The sequence below is a fragment of the Homo sapiens genome, chromosome 12 (assembly GCF_000001405.40).
Source record: "Homo sapiens chromosome 12, GRCh38.p14 Primary Assembly".
Taxonomy (NCBI): Eukaryota; Metazoa; Chordata; class Mammalia; order Primates; family Hominidae; genus Homo; species Homo sapiens.
The window spans coordinates 32,123,379-32,148,901 of record NC_000012.12 but is presented as its reverse complement, the minus strand read 5'-3'; the positions used below and the strand labels follow the sequence as shown (position 1 = coordinate 32,148,901).

At 41.6% G+C, this 25,523-nt stretch overlaps 1 protein-coding gene across 34 annotated transcripts in view, besides 5 other annotated features; it reads right to left on the bottom strand.

The window, feature by feature from the left end:
- Positions 1-25,523, bottom strand: part of BICD1 (BICD cargo adaptor 1) — a 276,787-nt gene that overhangs the window by 234,732 nt on the left and 16,532 nt on the right. The gene's annotated exons all lie outside the window — the stretch shown is intronic.
- Positions 2,126-2,195: an enhancer, noted in NCBI's record as "active region_6185". NCBI's record gives its function as "activates an Ori minimal core promoter by ATAC-STARR-seq in GM12878 lymphoblastoid cells {active_cell/tissue: GM12878}" and the evidence as "EXISTENCE:reporter gene assay evidence [ECO:0000049][PMID:35858748]".
- Positions 8,907-8,956: an enhancer, noted in NCBI's record as "active region_6184". NCBI's record gives its function as "activates an Ori minimal core promoter by ATAC-STARR-seq in GM12878 lymphoblastoid cells {active_cell/tissue: GM12878}" and the evidence as "EXISTENCE:reporter gene assay evidence [ECO:0000049][PMID:35858748]".
- Positions 14,383-14,442: an enhancer, noted in NCBI's record as "active region_6183". NCBI's record gives its function as "activates an Ori minimal core promoter by ATAC-STARR-seq in GM12878 lymphoblastoid cells {active_cell/tissue: GM12878}" and the evidence as "EXISTENCE:reporter gene assay evidence [ECO:0000049][PMID:35858748]".
- Positions 14,453-14,612: an enhancer, noted in NCBI's record as "active region_6182". NCBI's record gives its function as "activates an Ori minimal core promoter by ATAC-STARR-seq in GM12878 lymphoblastoid cells {active_cell/tissue: GM12878}" and the evidence as "EXISTENCE:reporter gene assay evidence [ECO:0000049][PMID:35858748]".
- Positions 16,394-16,895: an enhancer, noted in NCBI's record as "H3K4me1 hESC enhancer chr12:32284941-32285442 (GRCh37/hg19 assembly coordinates)". NCBI's record gives its function as "activates a minimal SCP1, AML or CMV promoter by ChIP-STARR-seq in naive H9 embryonic stem cells {active_cell/tissue: H9 hESC(naive)}" and the evidence as "EXISTENCE:reporter gene assay evidence [ECO:0000049][PMID:30033119]".

Below are 25,523 nucleotides of genomic sequence, written 5' to 3'. Positions count from 1 at the left end.
AATACAGGTGTGCACCACCATGTCCAGCTAATTTTTGTATTTTTAGTAGAGACAGGGTTTCACCATGTTGCCTAGGCTGGTCTGAAACTCCTGACCTCAAGTGTTTCTCCCACCTCAGCCTCCTAAACTGCTGGGATTACAGGCATGAGCCACTGTCCCCGGCAACATTACAGTCTATCATTTTTATAAAAATAGCAGCAACCTGTAAAAGTTCCCAGTGGAAAGCTGCATGGTCATACAGGGAGGGTTCACCAGGAAAGTTCCTACCTGCCTGTCTGCCAAGTGACCTTAAAAGGGAGCATAACTTGGTGAATTTGACATGATTCAGGTCATGATTCATGGGCTGGGAAACTGTATTCCATTCCAGGCTCATTCAGGCTCGAGGACGCTCTTGCATGTGAATTAAACCCACAGGAGACTGATGCACAAAACCAGAATAGAGCTTTATTTTACAATAAGAATTGTATAACTGCCGAGAGGTCAGAGAAGGACAGTGGGAAAATCACATTCTCTGCTCAAAGGCAGACTCTCCAGAAAGCCAGTTTACCGGGTGCCTGTTGCGGGGAACATGGAATCAGAATCAGTATGAGATTTGCCTAATTCGAATGTAACTGCATCAGACTCTGAAAACCTAGTGTGTCTGTCTCCACAACACAGGCCTGTCAGAAATGACCACTACAGAGCCAGGCAGGGTGCCCACCCCTGCTTAGCACCTCAGTGAATATGGCCAGTATCTGCTTCTCAGATTCTTTTTTTTTTGGAGACGGAGTCTCGCTCTGTCACCCAGGCTAGAGTGTGATGGTGTCATCACGGCTCACTGTAGCCTCAACCTCCCAGACTCAAGTGATCCTCCCACCTCAGCCTCCCAAGCAGCTGGGACCACAGGTGTGCACCACCACATCTGACTAATTTTTCTTATTTTTTGTAGAGATGGGGGGTCTCCCTATATTGCTAGGGCTGGCCTCAAACACCTAGGCTCAAGCAGTCCTCCCACTTCAGCCTCCCAAAGTGCTACAATTTTAGGCGTGTGCCACAGCACTTGGCCTACTGCAGTAGAGATATAGATACGAATACTTTTCTTAAGGGTACTGTACAGTTAGGCTGCCCTGGAACCATTCTGTCTCTTTGAGTTTCCTTCTCTACTCTGAACTTTAAGTGTCTATTTTCTTATTTTCTAGTTCATAGAAGACATTTCACTATCACAACTGTGTATTTACTGCCCACATTAACTAAATTATTGTGTACTTATTCATGTTTCTAGAAAACTTGAAAAAGATTTTTTAAAATTATCAACATAAAAACTCTGAAGGAGCCTTGAAGATGTTTTTAAAAAATTAAGTGAGCAGTTGAGGTAAATAATGAATGATTTTACAATCACAGATCATTTAACTTTAAAATAGCATAAAAATTCTTCTTAGTAAATCGTAACTAACAAGAAGAAGGAAATATAATGGTCGATAATTAATCAAATATCCAAAATGACGGCTAAGGGAAAAAAATCCACCACCGCCACCTGAACGACCTTTCAGTGAAATGAGCGTTGTGGATTTTAGAATTCAGAATTCTCTGTTCTTGTTCCTGTGAGTCTCTCAATCTAGCTGCTTTCCAGTCCTAATATTACTTGGCCTGTCTGGCAACATTGGTCTCTCTTGTTCTTGAAAGCTTCCCACAGCCGGGCACAGTGGCTCATATATGTAATCCCAGCACTTTGGGAAGCTGAGGCAGGAGGATCACTTGAGTTCAAGATTAGCCTGGGCAACATAGGGAGGTCCCATGTCTACAAAAATTAAAACATTAGCTGGGCATGGTGGCTCACACCTATGGTCTTAGCTCCTCGGGAGGCTAAGGTGAGAGGATCACCTAAGCCTGGGGAGGTCGAGGCTGCAGTGAGCTATGATCATACCACTACATTCCAGCCTGGGTGACAGAGCAAGACTGTCTCAAAAAAGAAAAAGGAAGAAGAAGGAGGAGGAAGGAGGAAGAAGGAAGAAGAAGAGAAAGAAGAAGAAGAGGAGGAGGAGGAAGAAGAAGAGGAAGGAGAAGGAGGAGGAGAAGGAAGGAAGGAAGGGAGGGAGGGAGGGAGGGAGGGAGGAAAGGAGGAAGGGAGAAAGAGAAGCAGAAGGAGAAGAAGAAATAAGAAAGCTTCCACGCTGGTTTCCATGAGCCACTCGGTAATCCTCCTCATCACTGCTCTCTGGCCACACTTCGTGGGCTCTGTCACTGCGTGCCCTTCCTCTGTCTGCTCTGAGGCCTGGCACTCCCTAGGTCTCCATCTGTACCTCTTTTCCTTCTTCCTCTACTTAATCTCATTCACTCCTGTGACTTTAAGAACTACTTAAATACAATGATTTGAAACCAGACAAAATGCATAAGCACAGCATAACACACATTAATAGTCCCTTGTTGTTCATTTTCTTGCTTTTCATTAGTCATCCTGAGATTCAGAAGTATATTTCCACCTGCCTACCAGCACCTCCACTTGACCATAGTTCCCTTTAACTCTTTAACTTCATCTGCTCAAAACACTTTTTTAAAACATCTCAAATCTCTTCTCCCATGATCTCTATCTGAGCTCATGATATCACCATCCACCTGCTTCCCCAAGCCCAAGCTTTGGAAGCCACAGTGAATGTGAGGCACTATTGGCTAACATGTAACAGTGACCATGTGACAGTAATTGTTAACAGTGTGCAAGAGAAAACTGTAAGGCTGGCTGCTAAATATGCCTGATAAATAACTGTCAACTTAACGCTGGTAGTATGATTAGGAAGAAGAGTGAAAGGGAAGAATAATTGGGTTCTGAGAGAGCCTTTGTTCATATGTATATGTCATTTCTAATTATAAATATGGAAATTTGATTAATTCTGTTTTTCCCACTCAACTCTAAGTTCTATAAGAGCTGGACCCATCCCTGTTTTGCTCATCACTGCATGCCCAGCACCTAATATAGTGCCTCACATATAGTAGATGCTCAGTAAACACTTGGTTCCAATTCCCTATGACCAAAGCTGACAATTCAGACTGATAAAGACAAACATTATATGAATTATTTATGTACAAGAATTAGTGTATCTATAAATGTATTGTCATGATGTACAAATATACAGAAAATAGAAATCTGCTGTCTTCTGGCATTTTGTCCTTTTCCTTAAAATCCTGCATTTACAAAAATAATATTCACTCCAGCCTTAAAATAAACTGAAAGACTTCCTCTCCCTAACCCCTCATCTGATCATCAAATTCTATCAACTTGGTCCTCTAAAATTCAGCTCAAAAACTGCTATCTCTGTGTAAAGTTATTGGCTATGTTCCAAATGCATTCTGCATATTGTCATGTATAATAGTAACATATTGTAATTATTTTAGTGTCTCCTCCTTCCTTCCCTCTTCCAAGTCCAGGAGCTACTTAAAGATTTTCAGGATCTCTTGTGCAATAACTGGGCTGAACATAGTACCTGATAACTAATTGACAGTCAATACATCACAAGTCAAAAGAAAAAAGAAATAGGATTTGGGAACACAAACATAGGATTTTGACAGCCACAATGAATTCTTTCATTCTTCCTACTCTGCACCTGTCTGTGGCCTTTTCCTCTACCATGTTCTGTCACATCCACATCATTATCTCGTGTCACAGAGCCTTCCCTGTGACTTCTGTGATGTATGGCTATGGGCATGGAATGGATGTACTTAACATTATGGCTTTTTTATTCTTTCTTCCTATTTATTCTGTCCCTTATCAGAAGCAAAGACCACAACATGTAGAAGTCTAATACAAAGTGCTGAAATATGCAAAGATAATATATGCACAGGGGTGCTGATTAAAACATTGACAAAAATGAAAGAATGTTGCTTTCAAGACACTCAGGTCTCTTTCTATACCTAAGTATATTATTCAACCATCAGAAAAGAACCAACTCCTTCCTAGATAAGAGACAACAGCACTTGCCCCTACCCATACTAATGCCACGGCTATTTGTCCATCAAAGTAAATGAATGGCTTTGTATTTGAATAGAAAAGAGGGGCACTCTGAGCTCTGAGGTGACAGATAATGCACTGATCAGTCACTCTCCAGTGGGGGTATCAGAAAAGTGAGGAAGAGAAAGTGATTCTGAGTAGTTTGGATTAATATTTGAATCTCAATCTTTATGAAAGAAATAGGAGCTTAACTTGCTATATAAAAGGTTTCAGTAGATAATAGATTTTTTGACATTGTTATGCAAGTAGATAGAATATTAACCTGCCTGGATTAATGAAAGCAATTACTAAGTGCTGTTACTATAAGTGGAATAGTTTCACTGTATCACATGTCCTGGTGATTCTTCATTTAGCCCAGATGATGCCAGGGGCTATTTGACAAAATGTTTCGTATATCTAAGAAGACATATTTTGCTGGTTTAAACCATAATCTTTGACATTTGTACCCACTGTGGATTTATGCCTCTTGTACACTCATTACAATTTAAGCAGAAACATTTTTCATGAGCAGAAAAGGAAAAATCTTAGATTTCATTAGCGAAAAAGCCACTGTCCCTACTGTCCTATTGTGATATGCTAATATTCACCCTGGAAAGAATAATTTAAGAACTCAAGCCTCTATATATGCAATTCAACTACTGTAGATTCAAAGATGGTCACAATAATTTATATACTCAAAGTTATGAAGGGTTAAAGAACTAATTATGAAAGACAATTTTTGTCCTTCTTCCCTACATAGGGAAAAATTTCTTAAAGACACAAAAATACATAACAAAGAGAAAAATTAATAAATTCAATTACATTCACCAAATTGAGAATTTTATCAAAGGACACCACAAAAAGAGTAAACTGCAGAGATGAAGATATTTGCAACACATACAAAGAATAAAGGACTAGGGGCCAGAATATATATTATACAAAGAACTCCTATAGATCATTTTGAAAAGACAGGTAACATTTGAAATGGCTGAAGACTTAAACAGGCATTTCATAAATTAGGAAATCGAAATAAAAATATGAAAAATTGCTCAAGCTTATTAGTAACTAGGGATAATGCAAATTATAAGTACCATAGGATACCATTATACACCCATCAGTTGAGCCAAATGTTAAAATCTGACAATATCCAATGATGGTGAGAATAGAGAATTCTCATACACTGCTGGAAGGTAAATAAATTGGTATGATCGCTTTGGAAAATACAGGCAGGTTGAAGATTGGCAATTCTACACCACCGTGATCACGCTCATAGAAATTCGCAAACATGTTCACCAGGCTATATGTACAACAGGTGCAGAGCAGCACTATTCATAATAGCCCAAACAATGAAAGCAAGTCAAAACCCATCAACTAAAAAATGGATAAACTGTGGTACAATCATACAATGGGATACTATACCATAACAAAATGAAATAACTAGCACTGTGTACAACAACCTGGAGAATCTCACACACACACAAAAAAAAATGTTAAATGAAAGAAAAAGCATTAAATAATATATGCAATATTATTCCATTCATGTAAAGTTCAAAAAGCAGACAAAAACTAAATTATGTGTGATAAAACTATAAAAGAAAATTAAGTAAATTATTACAACAAGTTGTGGACAATGGTTGTCTGGGACAGAGAAAGCTACGATGGAGAAGGGCACAAATGGAGATTGTGCGGTGCTTATGATATTCTATTTCCTTCATCTGGGTGGTGGCTACATGAATAGCAGGTTTATATTATTTGTTAAACTGTATATTCATGTTTGTGCACTTTTTCTGTATATATGGTATATTTCCCACAGGATGTTTTTCAGAAAGGTTATATAGACATATGAGACTAGATGGTCTGGTAAAAGAATGACAGGTGATAGACAAAAGGCAAACAAAAAATATAATCAGGAGGTAATAAGTGCTATGAAGAAAAGAAAAGCAGGATAGGGGAATAGGTTGAGAAGAGAGAACTATTTAACGGCTTGTAGCACCAGGATCTCCATAGTTAAGCCTCATGGAGTGCCACTGTGAACACAGCAAAGGCAATGCAAATTGAATGCACAATGAAGTTTCAAATTGTGCTGCATGCAAGATTTCATAAAGTCCACAAGAGATGGCTCCAACAACATCAAAAGTCCCTGACAGATAAAGATCTGGCAGCATTAGACTGTCAACAATTGAAGAAAAGAAAATAAGAAAAGCTGTCTATATTTTGGGTGCTTCATGAGAGAATAATCTTAATGATGAAATTTTTTTAAGGCTTAGAAAACTAATGAAGCCCTCAAATATGGTGTGAGATCTCTTTATAAGAATGCTGCAAGAGTCAGATGTGAAGCGAAGGCTGTTGTAATATGCCTTTTTTATAGAAAAACAATCATGCTATAAATAACAATAAAGCATTTTTAATTTGAAAAATTAGTTGACTGCTATTTTTATCTAGATAGATAGACCAATAGATAGATAGATAGATAGATAGATAGATAGATAGGATAGATAGGTGGGGTTTTTTGTTTTTTTTTTTTTTTTTTTTTTTTTTAGACAGAGTCTCACTCTTTTGCCCAGGCTGGAAGTGTGGTGACACGATCTCAGCTCACTGCAACCTCTGCCTCCCAGGTTCAAGCGATTCTCCTGTCTCAGCCTCCCCAGTAGCTCAGAGTACAGGCGCCTGCCACCACACCTGGCTAATTTTTGTATTTTTAATAGAGACGGGGTTTCACCATGTTGGCCAGGCTGGTCTCGAACTCCTGACCTCTAGTGACCCGCCCACCTTGGCCTCCTAAAGTGCTGGGATTACAGGCCTGAGCCATCACGCCAGGCTGTCAATAAACTTTTATGTTGACATACTTCAATAGAGTTTCAGTCAATCCCTCTTTTCCCTCCCTAATTTTTCCTATTTGAAAAGAATCCGCTCTCTCCTGTTTTGTTCAGCAAAATGTAAAACATTGATAAGATTTATACCTTTTTGAAAAAAATAGACTATGGTTGAGCCCATACATTCGATGAACATTTGTTCGTCACCTACTATGTGCTAGGCTCTGGGGAGAAACAAAAACAAATGAAACAAGAATCACCAAGACTCAAGAAGCTTACAACGAACGGCGAATAAAAAGGCTAGAAAACCACTGGCTTCGGGAATCTGTGGTAAGTGCTATTCAAAATGGGTGTCCAGGCCAGGCGCGGTGGCTCACGCCTGTAATCCCAGCACTTTGGGAGGCTGAGGCGGATGGATCATTTAAGGTTAGGGGTTTGAGACCAGCCTGGCCAACATGGTGAAACCCCACCTCTACTAAAAATAGAAAAATTAGCTGGGCGTAGTGGCGGGCGCCTGTACTCCGAGCTACTCGGGAGGCTGAGGCAGGAGAATCGCTTGAACCCAGGAGGTGGAGGGTGCAGTGAGCCGAGATTGCACCACTGCACTCCAGCCTGGGCGACAGAGCAAGACTCCGCTCAAAAACAAAACAAAACAAAAAGTGTGTCCAAAGGAAGGGCCTCTAAATCAGATTTCTCATGGGGCATTAGAAATATAGAATTTTGTTTTTGCCATATTTTTCATACAATCTTAGCTTAATAACAAAAACACAAATTAGTCACAGGCAGTCATCAGGACAAAAAAAAATCAGAAATATAAATTCTGAATAAGCTATAAACTAGATAACAAGGCCTTGAATAATTCCATTTTCTTAACTTTAAGTTGATATCTAATAAGACAGGAGTGCAACATCGAAACGCTGTCTTGTTTGAATTATAAATCTTCACTTTAAAGCGGCAGATGGAGCGCCTTATGTTCACAGAAAGCAAGCCAAGGGCTCAGAAAAGGTAACCACTCCGCCAAAGGGAAAGACACAAAACAGAAAACATGGCTCTGAACTTATATGCCCTCGAAGGGTTAACAGATGCCTGAATTTGTGAGAATTTTACAGAATTAGAATGGAACTAGTACAAAGTCCTCCAATGTGTTTTCCTTTCTGGGTCATGCAAACACGTACGTTCTACGGAAGATTTCAAGTACAACAAAAAAATCCGGGTTTCCCATCACAGAACCTAAGTCGCCGCATTTCCTCTGGTGTATAACATGTTGTTGATGCAGTTATTGTCCTTTGTTTTTTTTTTAGCTCTGTTTCCTTAAATGCCAAAACTACACACACGAAGTATGTAATACGAACACTGTGACAATGAGGAGATGCAAGTAACATTTTATTCACCTGAAGAAACTAAACCCCAACATTTTGCTTTTTGTCTACAGACACAGTTCCTGTAAACACAGAATCAAATACGGTGCGCGTAGAAAATAAAAAGATCCTCCCACACTATGGCACTTCCTTCAATGGAGGCTACTCGGGAGGCTGAGGCAGCGAATTGCTTGAACCCGGGAGGCGGGGTTGCATTGAGCTGAGATTGCGCCACTGCACTCCAGCCTGGGCGACAGAGCGAGACTCCGTATCAAAAAACAAACAAAACAACAACAACAACAACAAACAAGATGTTGTATTCTTGACATTTAGGCATTTTCTAAAATATTACATTTTTTATAAAATTTCTCTGCCATGGAAAAAAAATCCACCTTTGCCAGAGCAAAGGAAGCCAGTGAAAGAAGTAATTCATTGGGAGTATAATTATAAGCATTTAGCATTGTTTTGAACATGAGAAAAAGGCAAGCTTTCATCTAACAGATTTTCATAATCTCAAGAAATAATTCATCTGCCATTTATTTTCAGGGAAATGTGGTGCTTCTTGGAAGAAGCCCAGAGGATCCTGCTGTTAAACCAAGACCCATGCAGGAAAAAAAAATTATCCACTCCACAATAACATGGCAGGTAACACAAAGGCAGTGGTACTTCTCCAGCCGGGAGAGGCCCCCTCAAAACAGGAACTCCTGCCGGCTGACTTAATTACAGCACAGCAAGGGAATCCACTACAAAGGCAGGAGCCACTGAACAGAGAGCTGCTGAGATCCGTCCTCGGTACACGGACAGATGGTTCTGCTGCTTCTCGGCTGGTATAAGACCTTATAGAAGACTCTGAAAACTGAAACACGCCAACAAGTTTTCTGTTACCAGTATTTTTTTTTTAACTCTGTGCCCAGGCCAGGAGCGGTGGCTCACGCCTGTAATCTCAGCGCTTTGGGAGGCCGAGGCGGGCGGATCGCGAGGTCAGGGGTTTGAGCATCCTGGCCAACATGGTGAAACCCCGTCTTTACTAAAAATACAAAAATCAGCTGGGCGTGGTGGCGCTTGTCTGTAGTCCCAGCTACTTGGGAGGCTAAGGCACGAGGAATCGCTCGAACCCAGGAAGAGGAGGTTGCAGTGAGCCGAGATTGCACCACTGCGCTCCAGCCTGGCGACAGAGCGAGACTCCGTCTCAAACAAACAAATAAACAAAAAAACCCTTTGTGCCCACCGTATGCTAGCGTAAAAGTAATCTGAATTTGAAAGTCAATCAGCAAGTATTTACTGAGCGACGTGTAAGGGATAAGGAAAAGGTCTAAAGCAGCTTATCTAGTTTAGGGACATGGATTAAACTCTGATTTAATTTTAGGGCTTTTGACTTTTTCATCATCACACACAGACACACACAAACACACACACACAAAATTAGAGGAGAGGCCATGAAAGCACTGCCTTGAAAATTCTCAGACAAATTTACAGAAACAGAGTGAGTCCATGTAAGAAACCTGACCTTATACACAGGGACGATGCACTGAAACCTGTTTCACAGCAAAGGGAACTGAAAGTTTCTAAAGCAGTCACCACAGCAGCCACGTGGCTTAGAACACAAAACAGACAGCCCCCTAAATTATGAAGTCATACACACAGCTGCTAAATAACAGCACTGAGTAAACTCTATCTTGTAAAAAATGTTTAAACAAAATGAAAATTTAACTACAAACATTATTTATGGAATTAATATACATGCAAATTTTCTGCATGCAAACTCTACCTTCCTGGTCACTTTGAAGGATATAAATTAATCAAAATCACAAAATTCTTCAATCTTATGTAAGAATGTACAATAATGCCACTGAAGCAATTTAGAACTTACAATGCCCATAGCATAGAATCTATTATATATAGATATCTAATTATATCTATCTAAACACATACATATACAGATGCTCCTCAACTGATGATGAGATTATGTCCTAGTAAACCCATCATAGTTTGAAAAATATCATAAGTCAAAAATACATTTAATACGCCTAACCTATCAAATACAGCTTACTTAGCCTCACCTACCTTAAACATGCTCAAAACACTTACATTAGCCTATATTTGGGCAAAAATCACCTAACACAAAGCCTATTTAAAGTAAAGTGTTGAATAGCTCATGTAATTTGTTGACTGGTGTACTGAAAGTGAAAAACAGAATAGACGTGTGGGCACCCAAAATATGGTTTATATAAAGTCAAAAAATTATAAAGTCAAAAAATAATTATAAAGTCAAAAAATCATTAAGATGAACCATCGTTAAGTCAGGGACCATCTGCATACATATATAAATACATACACATACATATTCCTATTTAATACTGATATCAACTCTATAAACTAAAAATGCACAGCTTGGTGAGTCTGAATGAGTTAATATATTTAAAGCACTTGGAGAACTTCTATCAATACAAGCTTTGAAGTCACACTGCCTGACTGAGATTTTGGTTCCATCGCTAGACAAATTAATTTATCTGTGCTGCAATTTTCTCATCTATGTAAGTGGAAATAATAATAAAAGCCTCTACTTCATAGGCTAATGAGGCATATGCTATCTGGCATATTAAATATCTAGCACAATACCCAGTATGTGGTAGGCAATGAACACAAGCGAGCTATTTTTAAACTTTATATATTTGGCCAGGCACGGTGGCTCACGCCTGTAATCTCAGCACTTTGGGAGGCCAAGGCAGGCGGATTGCCTAAGCTCAGGAGTCCGAGACCAGCTTGGCCAACATAGCAAAACCCTGTCCCTACTAAAAACACCAAAAATTAACCAGGCATGGTGATGCGTGCCTGTAATCCCAGCTACTTGGGAGACTGAGGCAGGAGAATCGCTTGAACCTGGGAGGCGGAGGTTGCAGTGAACTGAGATCGCGCCACTGCACTCCAGCCTAGGAGACAGAAGGAGACTCTGTCTCAAAAAAAAAAAAGTTTTTATATTTGGCCTCCAGTAATGGAGGCCTTTTTACAAAGGGAATCCGAATTAAAACTTGGGTCTCCTGATAAATTTGAGAATACTTTCTACAGCCATGCTGCTGGGAACCATACAAAGGAGGCATTTAATCAAACTGATACGACTAAGTATTATTATGATACAGTAGCAAAAAGTAACAATGGTTGCACATGATGACACTAAATGCCAAAATCTTTACATGATGTCAGAAGATAAGGTCAAGTGCTCCTTCAGAACATATGCCCTACAACACGTTACCTTGTTCTTTTCTGCTATGATTCTCTTTGTAAAAAGTTATATATCTGAGTAATAAATTGCTACACTAAGTATCTGAGAGTACTGCTTTGGGTCACAAAAGCAAAATAATTTGCTTATAAAAACAATTAACCTTAGGCCAGGTGCGGTGGCTCATGCCTGTAATCCCAGCACTTTGAAAGGCCGAGGCAGGCTGATCACTTGAGGCCAGGAGTTCAAGACCAGCCTGGCAAACACGGCAAAACCCTGTCTCTACTAAAAATACAAAAATCAACCAGGTGTGGTGGCGCATGCCTGTAATCCCAGCTACTCAGGTGGCTGGGGCACAAGAATTTCTTGAACCCAGGCAGTGTAGGCTGCAGTGAGCTGAAATCACACCACTGCAATCCAGTCTGGGCAACAGAGCGAGACACTGTCTCAAACAAAACAAAAACAAAAACAACAACAACAAAAAAACCTAACTTAAAAATACTAAATATTCAGTGAAAACTAGAGTCATGCTAAACCAAAACAGTGTTTTAGCTCCAGGTATTAATGGCCACTTCTGGAGCCATAAGCAAAGCTGATAATATAGCTCCTAAATAAAGAACTGGAATATGGTTGGCAAAGAATCACCTTCTTAATTTCTTAAGAATGTTCAACTCTGGCACAAAGTGGACAAGGTGAGTATGGGTGAATATCCTTCTAGAGAGATAAGACTAGAAGACTGAGGATCTACAGAAGGGGATGCCCAGTTATTCTCTCTCCCCCTACTCTCGAAACTCACTCATTAATTCATGTATTTATCAAAATGGCATGTCAATACCCTGAGCAGCCACTCAGGACAGGACTCCTGCATTGCTACAATACCGATCCCCCAGCCTCTCCTCTGCCCCTCAACCTGCCTTAGCTGCTGTCATTTTATCTACACTGGACAGGACCTGTCCATTTCCTGTCTTCCTTCCAATTATGTTTGTCCATGTCTGGACCTGGCTGGTTGTTCCCTGCAGCCCCTTGCTGGTTACCTTACTCTGACAGTGATGCAGCCAGAGGCACTAAAGGGTTAGCCCAAGGGCCCCAGCCCTGCATTTGGCCCATGAAGGGGCTTACGATCCTCGTTTTCTGGGTTTGGGTGATGTTAGAGGAAAGTGCCCCAGCCCAGCACCATTCCTTTTTGCTTCTGGTTTGGAGCTCTAGACCACAGCCTTAGTTCTGGTCAGTTGTTAAGTAATTATTTAACAGTGTGACGTTCAGACCTGCATGACATCTATACAGTGTCCAGTAAAGAAAGAGAAAGCCATGGTCCCTACCTTCAAAAAAGAAAAAATGCCACGTAGGTGCTTGGTGATACAAAGTTGAGTAAGACACACATAATCTGGTGGAGGAAACAGACCTGAAAATCAATAATCACAGAACAGTGGAACATTATAGTTGCCTCAGTCTTTACAGGGGAACACAGAGGAGCACCAGCTAAAGAATGTGTACTTTGGACAAAGTTATATGCCAGGTACTCCTATATATATGATCTAATACAAAAATAAACATCAGTCCTATACTGTTAGATGAAGAAATAGGTTCCAAGATTTAAGAGGCAGAACTGAGAATGCAAGTCCTGCGCTATCATCCTCCACACGCCTCTCCTTTGTCCCTCTCCACCTTCCTTCCCCCTTTATTTTCCTTTCCTAGAAGGGAAGGAGGGTGTCAGCATCTCAATCAAAAGTCAAAACTCACATGTCAACAGGTAAGTGACAGATGATGTAAATGAGGGAAGAACAGAGATAGTGAGATAACTCAGATGAGATGGAATGGTGGGGACTCTGGTGAATTAGAGATTCACGCTCTTTCTAAAAGAAAGGTGAAGGTTCATGCCTGTAATTCCAGCACTTTGGGATGTAAAGGCAGAAGATCGCTTGAGGCAAGGAATTTGAGACCAGGCCAGCCAATATAGTGAAGTGTTGTCTCTACAATAAATTTAAAAATTAGCCAGGTGTGGTGATGCACACCTGTAGTCCCAGGTACTCAGGAGGCTGAGATGTAAGGATCACTTAAACCCAGCAGGTCTAGGCTGCAGTGAGCTGTGTTTGTCTCACTGCACTCCAGCCTAGGTGACAGCGCAAGAGACCCTGTCTCAAAAAAAAAAAAAAAAAAAAAAAAAAAAAAGCCACGCATGGTGGCTCATGCCTGTAATCCCGGCACTTTGGGAGGCCGAGGCAGGCGGATCACCTGAGGTCACAAGTTCAAGACCAGCCTGGCCAACATGGTGAAAGCCCATCTCTACTAAAAATATAAAATTAGCCAGGCATGGTGGCATGCACCTGTAATCCCAGCTACTCAGGAGGCTGAGGCAGGAGAATGGCTTGAACCTGGGAGATGGAGGTTGCAATGAACTGAGACCACACCACTGCACTCCAGCCTGGGTGACACAGTGAGACTCCGTCTCATAAAAAAAAAAAATAAAGGAGGGGAGCGGGGAAGGGGAGGGGAGGGGAATGGAGGGGAGGAGGGGGAGAGGAGAGGAGAGGAGGACTCATTCACCTCTAGCCCTCTGATGCCACACAGAAATGTGGGCCCAAGGCTCTGTGAAATCTTCCAGTTTTTTGAGACTGGCCTGAAATCCTGTTTATGTGATTCTGTTTCTTGAAAAAAGCAGCTCCCTAAATCAAAATGTTTATCAATCACCAAGCCTGACTGTGGCCACGGGATATCAGCTTGCAATATCTGCTGTAGACCAAAGGTGGCCAGGCTTGTCGGCATTGCTCCCGACACTATGGTGTTTCACTTAGAAAGTTTAACAACCACACAGTCATCGCAAAACAAACCACAGGACTGGTGCCACTACTGTTATCAAGACTTTATTCTAATTCTGAGGTATTAAGGAGAGAGGCACACAATGACAGAGTCGCGGTGCTGAAAACACCTGACTCACTTCCTTGACATCCCTACCAAGTAGCTTTTTGGCTCTGCTTAAGCATCATGATGAGCCAACAGGGAAGTCTCTCTCTCCTCAGATGGCCTGCTCACTTTCACTCTGCTCTTAGACATTAGAGAAGGTCTTTTTTTATATTAAGTTGACCTCTGTATCCCTGTATCTGCCACCCATTGGTCTCTGGACCACTTTACCTAGAACACAATATCCCAGGAGCAAGAAACCAACGTTATCATCACATTACAAACAGTGTTTCTGTTCATACAAAGATCATATCAGCTTTTTACTTGGACTAGCACACTTGCCTCCCTGGCCCTCGGGGACCATAGCATGATCTAGCAGTGCCAGTGAGTTAACAAAGGCTTACCAAGTTCCATGGTAGGGCACAGGGAGAGCTGTTATTTCCATCAGTCACATGTTTTACTTTAATTCTAGCTCAAGAATATATTTATGCCCCAGTCTCCATGTTCCTAATCTACAGTGCACAACTGCTTCCTATAAATAATTATTTTAACTTTGGTTTAAAAAGTACTGGCATCCAGCCAGGCACAGTGGCTCAGGCCTGTAATCCCAGCACTTTGGGAGGCCGAGGTGGGTGGATCACCAGGTCAGGAGATCAAGACCATCCTGGCCAACACAGTGAAACCCCGTCTCTACTAAAAATACAAAAAATTAGCCAGGCGTGGTGGCAGGCGCCTGTAGTCCCAGCTACTCAAGAGGCTGAGGCAGAAGAATGGCGTGAACCCGGGAGGCGGAGGTTGCAGTGATCAGAGATCGTACCACTGCACTCCAGCCTGGGGGACAGAGCAAGACTCCATCTCAAAAAAAAAAAAAAAGAACTGGCATCCATTTCAGAAACTGGATAAAGTTGGTTTCACAGAATGTTAAAAAGTATCCATGGCTAGTTTGTTTGACTTTATAGGAATAAAAATGACTTAACAGTTTAGCTTTATAACAGAAACTAAGAAATATGGCTCCACACTTAATATGCATCATGAAAGGTAGCCAACTTAGGTCCAGTAAATTACATCATAGAGCATTATAACTATAGAATGCTGCTTGTTTTTCTGGCAAAGTCATGAATCCCTTCCAAATGAGAAACATTTTGGCAGACTCATCTTTTTTTTTTTTCCCAGATGGAGTCTTGTTCTGTCGCCCAGGCTGGCTTGCAGTGGCACGATCTTGGCTCACTGCAACCTCTACCTCCCAGGTTCAAGTGATTCTTGTGCCTCAACCTCCCGAGTAGCTAGGATTACAGGTGTGCACCACCATACCCGGCTAATTTTTGCATTTTTAGTAGAGATGGGGTTTCACCATGTTGGTCAGGCTGGTCTCAAACTCCTGACCTCAGGTGATCCACCTGACTCAGCCTCCCAAAGTGCTGGGATTACAGGCATGAGCCACCCCGCCTGGCCAGGAGACTCATCTTAAAATTATTTTTCAGACAAAGTATCAATATTGGTATCCACAAGAATTTTCAAATTCAAATAAGCAAATATTTCGTCTCCTAAATTTAAGTGTGAAATATTATTTTATTCCTTTTTATATCTCCTTATCATATGATTTCTTTACATTCTTCCTAGCTCCTTATAAGAAACCTAGGAGCCATCCTGATTTCTCCACCTTCTTTTGCCTCCCATATTTAATTAATTAGCAAATCTTTCAACATATACCCTGAATCAGATCACTTCTTACCCTCAAGTAGATTCTCTCTCAGTCTAAGCCACCATCATCTCTTACCTGAACTACTGCAATAGCCTCCTAACTTGGCTCACTCTTCCACTGTCTGCAAGGAATAACCAGAGTGATCTTTTAAAAACATGTATGAAATCACATCACTCAGGCGGCTTAAAATAAAATCCAGACTTCTCACCAGGGCTCAGAGAACCTGCTTGCTGACTCCCTCTCCACTGCCCCTCTCACATTCCCCCTCCCCAACAACTGCCACACTGGAGTCTTTTGGGGTCCTGGTTGAAGGCAGTACTGCCCCCTTGGCGTTGGGGCGGGCAGTGGGTGTCTAGAATGTGTGACTGTTTTTGTAATGACAGTGACTAGGGATGCTAACCGTCCCGCATTGAGCCACACAGTCCCACAGTGCACAGCACAGTTCCGAGCCGCAAAGGCTTGCAGTACCCAAAATGCCATTTGCCATTTTCACAAAAACCCAGTTCATTCTCATCTCAAGATCTTTTTTTTTTTTTTTTTGAGACAGAGTCTCGCTCTGTCGCCTAGGCTGCAGTGCAGTGGCACAATCTCGGTTCACTGCAACCTCCGCCTCCCGGGTTCAAGCAATTCTCCTGCCTCAGCCTCCTGAGTAGCTGGGATTACAAGCGCCTGCCACCACACCCAGCTAATTTTTGTATTTTTAGTAGAGACAGGTTTTCACCATATTGGTCAAGCTGGTCTCGAACTCCTGACCTCATGATCTGCCCACCTTGGCCTCCCAAACAGCTGGGATTACAGGTGTGAGCCACAGTGCCCAGCCCCCATCTCAAGATCTTTACACTTACTGTTACTTTTGACCCAGGAACTGAAATATTTTCCCATCTTGCTCAAATATTTTCCCACCTTGCTCCTTCTGACCACTTGGGATTCAGCTCCAACATCATCTCCTCTGAAAGGCCATGCCTGGCCCTCATTTCTCAAATAGCCACCCCAGCCAGCACCCCCGCCAGTCTTGTTATTCCTCCACCTTGCTTTATTTAGTTTTTAGCACATATCACCCTGTAAAATTATGCATTTACTTGCTTAAGCTTTTGTTGCCTTTCTCCCCCACAAGTGTGTCAACCCGCTGAGGGCAGGAACTTTGTACCCTGGCACCTAACAATGGCTGGGGTATACCAAGCGTTTAGTCATCAGATATGCAGTGGATAAATGTCTCCATAATTTTTCTTATTTACGATCAGGAATTTTTTTAAATCTTCAATTTGGGAGTGCAGTGTCTCGTAGTTATCATTTCTAGTTATTTTTTCCTACACCAAGTTCCCCTTTTTGTGCAACAGAGTTGTTTTACATTCCACAATTTTTATTTTTGCAGAGGACAGAGAGGTGATGGTAAACTTAAAATATCCCAAATCACCATGCAACTGTTTCACAAAATGTGAAGGAGGGCTTTTTATGAACACAGTATTTTTGTAAGCCTCAGAGTAAATGTGTAAATTCTGGCTAACTGACCAGTAAAGCTATGGTAGGACCACTTCTGGGGGCAATAATCATCCGATGAGAGAGCAGCTCCCTTTACTGGAGCCACCGAAATAGAAAATGAGCACCACCTTTTGTCAAAAAGGCTCACAAATCTTTTCAAGACCGAGAAGAGCTGAAATATACGGCAACAGAAAAATAATTTTTTTAAAAAAATCACACTTTGAAAGCACTAAATCCAAAGTTCAAACCAGGTCTAGAAGTGAATTAGAGATAAGTGATAAGGGGGATGTATAGGCTTACAACTGGACTTTAAAATATGATTTTATTTAAATGTCACGGAGCAGCCTGGCGTGGTGACTCACACCTGTAATCCCAGCACTTTGGGAGGCTGAGGCGGGCAGATCACCTGAGGTCAGGAGTTCGAGACCAGCCTGGCCAACATGACGAAACCCCGTCTCTACTAAAAATACAAAAATTAGCCGGGAATGGTGGTGCATGCCTATAGTCCCAGCTTGAGAGGCTAAGGCAGGAGAATTGCTTGAACCCGAAAGGCAGAGGTTGCAGTGAGCTGAGATCACACCACTGAACTCCAACCTGGGCGACAGAAATAGACTCCATCTAAATAAATAAATACATAAATGTCAAGGAGCATTATTTATTTAACTATATAGAAGCCTGGAAAGATATGTTAAAAAAAGAATGAGCATACTTCGATTACTTTTATGTTCCACACACATATGATCTATGCTCAAACAGGGTCTAAATGAGATACTAGATGTTAAACAGTGCTTCTCTCTAACGAGTGGTATTTGGGAACTGACATACAATCACCTATGGCTTCTGTGAGACTGCTGGGCCCAAGCACTGTATGCATTTTAGATCTTAATACAGACTGCCAATCCACGTTCTCAAAGTTCACAGCAATTCACACTTCTACCTCTACACACTTTCCGACACTGTATATTATCATTATTTAAAAATTTTGGGGCCGGGCGTGGTGGCTCACGCCTGTAATCCCAGCACTTTGGGAGGCTGAGGCAGGCAGATCACGAGGTCAGGAGATCGAGACCACGGTGAAACCCCGTCTCTACTAAAAACACAAAAAGTTAGCCGAGCGCGGTGGCAGGCGCCTGTAGTCCCAGCTACTTGGGAGGCTGAGGCAGGAGAAGGGCATGAACCCGAGAGGCGGAGCTTGCAGTGAGCCGAGATTGCCCAGTGCACTCCAGCCTGGGCGACAGAGCGAGACTCCATCTCAAAAAAAAAAAAAATTTTGTCACTGTATATTATCATATTTAAAATTTTTGTAAATTAATGGGAAAAAAAGTAAACTTCCTTAATTTACATTCACTGACTACTCAGATTGAACATCTCTTCCCATTTACTGATTTACTTGCAAATCCTCTCTGACTAGTTGCTCTTTGTCCTTTTTTCCTATTGCATTATGTTGTTTTCAATAAACTCATTGTACCTATATTTTAGGAATAATAATTGTTTGTAAGTCATCCACATCGCACTATTTCTTCCAAACTGTTCTTTTTCATTTCTAAAACCAAATAAGTCAGTCCTCCCTTTTGATTCTAAGTTTTGTATCTTGCTTAGGGAAATTTCCTCCCAGTGACATTTAATAAATATTCTCAGGAATTTTCTACTGAGTAGAATTCATTTTTTTAACAAACCATTAAGTCCTTGGTATTGCAATGTAAAGTTAATGAAGGGAGGGGATAAAAGAAGATGAGAAAGAAAAGGGTACAGGGTTAAGAAAGAGACTGGAAAAGTCTTATTTCTTAATGTTGAAGAAAGAGTTTTAGGCCAGGTGCGGTGGCTCATGTCTATAATCCCAGGACTGTGGGAGGCTGAGGTGGGAAGATCGGTTGAGCCCAGAGTTTGAGACCAGCCTGGGAAACATAGTGACACCTTGTGTTTACAGAATTTTTTTTTTTTTTTTTTTTTTTGAGATGGAATCTCGCTCTGTCGCCCAGGCTGGAGTATAGTTGCGCCATCTCAGCTCACTGCAACCTCCACCTCCTGGGTTCAAGCAATTGTCCTGCCTCAGCCTCCCAAGTAGCTGGGACTATAGGCATGTGCCACCATACCTGGCTAATTTTTTTTATTTTTAGTAGAGACAGGATTTCACTATGTTGGCCAGGCTGGTCTCCAACTCCTGACCTCAGGTGATCCGTCTGCCTGGACTCCCAAAGTGCTGGGATTACAGGCATAAGCCACCATGCCCGGCCTACAAAAAATTTTTAAAAAATTAGTTGGGCCTCTAACCCCAGCACTTTGGGGAGCTGAGGCAGGCGGATCACCTGAGGTCAGGAGTTCGAGACCAGCCTGGACAACATGGTGAAACCCCATCTCTATAAAAATACAAAAATTAGCCAGGCACAATGGTGCATAATCCCAGCTACTCGGGAGGCTGAGGCAGGAGAATCTCTTGAATCTGGGAGGCAGAGGTTGCAGTGAGCCAAGATCGTGCCACTGCACTCCAGCCTGGGCAACAGAGCGAGATTCTGTCTCAAAAAAAAAGAAAAAAAAAATTAGTTGGACATGGTGGTGCATGCCTGTAGTCCCGGCTACTTGTATGGCTGATGTGGGAGGGTTGCTTGAACCTGGGAGGCTGAGGCTACAGTAAGCCAAGATCGTGCCCTTGCATTCTAGCCTGCGCAACAAAACAATACCCTATCTTAAAAAACAAAAAAAGGAATAAAAAGAAGTTTTAAAAGATTCTAAAGTAACAATACATTTCTCATATTGATATATTATGACAGGAAAAAAACTCAAGTATTTTGGCTTGAAAATATAAACTATAAACATATAGGAAAAATTTTGGTTTAAAACTAAGCACAAATTACGCTGGTTTTTTTTTAAGAAAAGGAACAATTATATTTTTCATAATACTAAAAATGAAATAATGTAAAGTGATAAAAAGCAATTAATTCCTACTTAGGTAATATTTCATCTCAGCCTTTTCCATTAAAACTTTAACTTTTATGTGATTATGAGGTTATTTATACCTAAAGAGACCATTTATGTATATAGAGAATTAGTACAGGCATTTATTCTTCCAGGGACTGAGATAAGAGGAAAATAACCAAGGGAAGAATTTGTTCAGCACTAGAGGCAATATTTCAGATGCTTAAGTGGAAATACGCATATGCTTCCTCAAAAATCACAAATAGAACTGTTAGATTAGAACTTGTACCTTTTTGAATACTTTATGAAAAGCCCTTAAATAATATTTTTTTCCAAAGTGACTTCTTAAGAATTAGCTCAGGCCGGGTGCGGTGGCTCACGCCTGTGATCCCAACACTTTGGGAGGCGGAGGCGGGCAGATCACCTGAGGTCAGGAGTTTGAGACCAGCCTGGCCAACACGGTGAAACCCTGTCTCTACTAAAAATACAAAAATTAGCCGGGTGTGGTGGCATGCACCTGTAATCCCCGCTACCTAGGAGGCTGAGGCAGGAGAATCACTGGAGCCTCGGAGGCAGAGGCTGCAGTGAACTGAGATCGCGCCACTGCACTGCAGCCTGGATGACACAGCAAGAGTCTGTCTCAAAAAAAAAAAAAAGAATTAGATCACAGCCCCAATAAGATTTCTGGTAACATCTAATTAGACAATTGAGTTCCCTTGCTGGAGCTTGTCTGCTTTGCTTATAAAAACATGTGCAAAGTCTAAGACAACCACAACTAGACCCTCAATATCCTCCTCCTTAATGCTTATTGGGGAAACGGAAATAAACAGTGTGATCTGCCTTCGTTCACACTTGTCACTTCCTTGTAAATGTTGAGAGCTTTCCAAAGCAAAGAGCCTATGACAGCAAGGAAGGTGTCCAAAGCCAGTGACTCCTGGGGAAGAACAAAATAAGAAGAATTATTCCATCAGCTACCAAGAACTTATATTAAAATGGTAAGAGTAAGACAGTGTGGCATTTGCACAAGAATAGACCAACAAACCAATGTAACAGAATAGTCCAAAAATAGACCCATGCATATATAAAAACTTGATTTATCACAAAACACACATTGGAAATTAGTGCAGGAAAGATCAACTGTTCAGTAACCTGTGGTACTGAGATCACTGGCTAATTTTATTGGGGGGTGGGGTGGAATCATGGGAAAAAATTTAAATTAGATTTCTACCTCACACCAAACACAAAACTCAATTCCAGGGAGAATTAAAGATTTAAATATAAAAGTCAAACCATAAGATATTCAGAAGACAATATAGGTGCATGTTTTTATGACTTCATGGAAAGGATTTCTTAAGAATAGAAAAATACAACCTAGAAACACAAAAGAGTGATAAATCAACTAAATTAAAATTATAAACTTCTCTTCTTCAAAGGATACCACAGAAAGAGTAAAAAGACAACCCATGGACTAGGAAAAGATATTTCCAACATATCTAAATAACTAAAAAGGCTTAGTATACAGAATATGAGTATAGGTGTATACTCTTACAAATCAGGAAGAAAAATGTAAACAATCCAATGGTAAATGAGCAAAGACATGAAATGCATTTCAGTGCAGGATAGTCATAAATGCCTGTAAATACTGAAGAGGCACGACCTCATAAGCAGCCACAAAAATGCAAACTAGAGCCACAAGGTATGAAGTGATGACAAGGATGTGGAGCCAAAGGTGCCTGGTGCCTGTTCCTTGTATATTTATATTTTTACAATTTTAATTTCTGCAGGGTCTTTTTCTTTTTTTTTAAACAGAGTCTCACTCTGTCGCCCAGGCTAGAGTGCAGTGGCGTGATCTGATCTCGGCTCACTGCAACCTTCACCTCCCGGGTTCAAGCAATTCTCCTGCCTCAGCCTCCCAAGTAGCTGGGATTACAGGCTTGCATCACCATGCCAAACTAATTTTTGTATTTTTAGTAGAAACAAGGTTTCACTATGTTGGCCAGGCTGATCTCGAACTCCTGGTATCAAGTGATCCACCCGCCTCGGCCTCCCAAAATGCTAAGATTACAGGTGTGAGCCACCATACCCGGCCAGCAACTTTTTTTTTTTTAAGAATACTATCTATGGTGACTATTTCTAGCCCACCATGATAGCGAGTGTCTTCAAAGAGAGCTGCAGGCATGACCAACCTGCGTTCACTCTCATTCTAATCTTAAGATTTCATCCTTTCTACACAAACTCGGTGTGAACAGTCTGCAAACCGTGGTGAGAGCCCATTGGTGGGGTATGAAGTCTGAGAAGAGGTATACAATTTTTCCCACCACATCCAGTTCCCCCCACAATAGTTGTAGGGTCCTCTGGAGCCCAAATCTGGGGAGATTCTAGGCTTTATCTCCTATTTCCTCTACTCTAAGTGGCCGGAAAACTAATGCTCAGTATTGAACCAATACTGATTCAGCAAATGCATTCAAGGCAAAAGTCAGATTTGATGCACTGCTTTTTTTTTTTTTTTTTTTTTGAGATGGAGTCTTGCTCTGTTGCCCAGGCTGGAGTGCAGTGACACAATCTCAGCTAACTGCAAACTCCACCTCCTGGGCTCAAGCGATTCTCCCACCTCAGGCTCCCGAGCAGCTGGGACTACAAGTGTGTGCCACCATGTCTGCCTAATTTTGGCATTTTTTTTTTTTTTTAGAGACGGGGTCTTGCCATGTTGCCCCGGCAGGTCTCAAACTCCTGAGCTCAAGTGATCCACCTGCCTTGGCTTCCCAAAGTGTTGGGATTACAGGCTGAGCCACTGCGCCTAGCCAACACACTGCTTACTTCTAAGAGTTCCTGCTTTGATTCAGTTTTAGCCTCTGAGCATCCTTACCAAGTAGTCGACTCATTCATTCCATTTAAGGGCTAGTTTTTTATTGCACTCAGCATTTTTAATTGTTGCTAGCAGGAAGGTTAGTCAGATGTCTTAGACCACAGGACCACTGTATTGCCAGAATCTAAAGTCAAAAATCCGCTTTAAAACATAAAGCTAATTATGTCACTCTCCTGCTTTGAAACTTTCAATGCTTTTCTCATGATATACAGTGTAAATCTGAGCTCCTAAGTGCTCTTGACCCTGTTCAAGAGGCATAAGGGAAACTTCCCAGAGGAGAAAGAAAATGGAGGTTAAACTTGAACCAGCAGGAACAGAGAGAAAAGAGGAGAGCAGAGAAACAGCCAATGAATCCTAATTAACAAATCAAATGGGCAGGAGAATATTCAAGTCTAGTATGGAAAGAGCTCAACATTCAAGGGTCTGATCAACCATTAGAAGCTCAGTCAAGACTGCAGGGCATCAGGGGCTCTCAAAGCCAAGAGTGAAGAATCAGAGGGGTCTGTAAGAGATCAGGGACATTGGGAGCAGCATCTATCCAACCACGCAGAGGACAGTGGGTGCCCAAACCAAAGGGCCAATTAGGCAACCTGGTCACAGTAGGAGTTAGACTGAGGAGCTGCCTCTCCCTAATTCACAGGAGCCCAGAAGGCTCAAACAGATTTAAAATATACAAAGGAGGGCATGGGAGCAGCAGATCCTCCCAGACCCCTTGTTAGTCACAGGTACTCCTGGTCTGGCTCTCAAAAGCAAGGCCTTCCCAACTTTGTTACAGTCAGCTATGCTGAAGCCTTGGCTGGCAGAAACTGACAAGCCCCATAACACAGCTTTCCCCATCTGGCCCCAAACCATCTCTCCAGGCTCACCTCCCCTCTCACCCCATTCCATCTACCTCCCTACTGCAACAACACAGACACTGACAAGCAGCACTCTCTCCAGCCTTCCCTCTTCTACAGGCTGTTTCATCTTCCTGAATGACTTTGCCCCTCTTCTCTCCCCGGAAAATCCCTACTTATTCTTCAAAGCCCCCTCAAATGTTGCCTGATCAGGAGATTACTCTGATTCAAGCTGAGTTTGCTACCCTCCACTCCTATCGAGCACAGCCAACACATTATTATTTTATTATTATTACTATTATTGTCACCATCACATCCATCATTTATCAAGTGCTTGTCATGTGTCAGATACTGTATTAAATCCTTCACATGCATTTTTCCTTACCACTTATAGTTATTATCATTCTCCATTTTACTGAGGAGGAAACCAACGTTCACATCATTTCAAATATTGGCCTAAGGTCACATAGCTGCTAAAGGGATTTCAAACACAGTCTGTTCTTAACTCAAAAACTCATATTGTTTCCAGTAAAATATCACAATTCATTTATCTCTGTTGCCTCCAACAACAAATAAGTAACTTAAAAATAAAGATCACGTCTTCCTAATTTTTGTATAGCCTGCATAATACCTGGCATATAGATGATGCTCTCTAAAGATTTAATAAATAAATGAATAACAGACATTCATTCCATTTTCTCAGGAACTTGAATGACAACTGTAGCACAGAACCAGTAATACAATGTTGAGACTGTCTTTATGTCCCCTTTGGCTAGGGTCTACTGGATAGCTCGCATTATGGAGAATAAAGGACAGAGAGCACAAGACACTTAGGTAAAGATTCAGGTACAAGGAACCAGGCAAGTCAGCGCAGTGTCTTTTGAGTAAATGGGTTTAACCTAGGCAAACAAGTGGTTATTTTTAAAACAAGTGGTCTACTCCAACCTCTTTTCAAATAACTGGCTGTCTTTTTTTTTTTTCTTTTCAGACGGAGTCTTGCTCTGTCGCCCAGGATGGAGTGCAGTGGCGCAATCTCGGCTCACTGCAACCTCCATCTCCCAGGTTCAAGCTATTCTCCTGGCTCAGCCCCCGGGTAGCTGGGATTACAGGCACCTGCCACCACGCCTGGCTTATTTTTTGTATTTTTAATAGAGATGGGGTTTCACCATGTTGGCCAGGCTGGTCTTGAACTCCTGACCTCAGGTGATCCGCCCGCCTCAGCCTCCCAAACTGCTGGGATTACCGGCGTGCGCCACTGTGCCCGACCACAACTGGCTGTCTTAATAACTTCATCTTTAATTTTTTCCCAGCCTAAATCAGTGCAATACCATAACCACCTATTAAACACCTGCTATGGTGGGAAGGAAGAGAATGCCATATACCTCATGGGATACTGAGTTAATGAAAACTTCTTTTCCCTGAAGGGGGTCTTAGTCGTGCTTGAATGTATGCAGAGGTTATCTCAATGAAGGAAAAAGTGCAG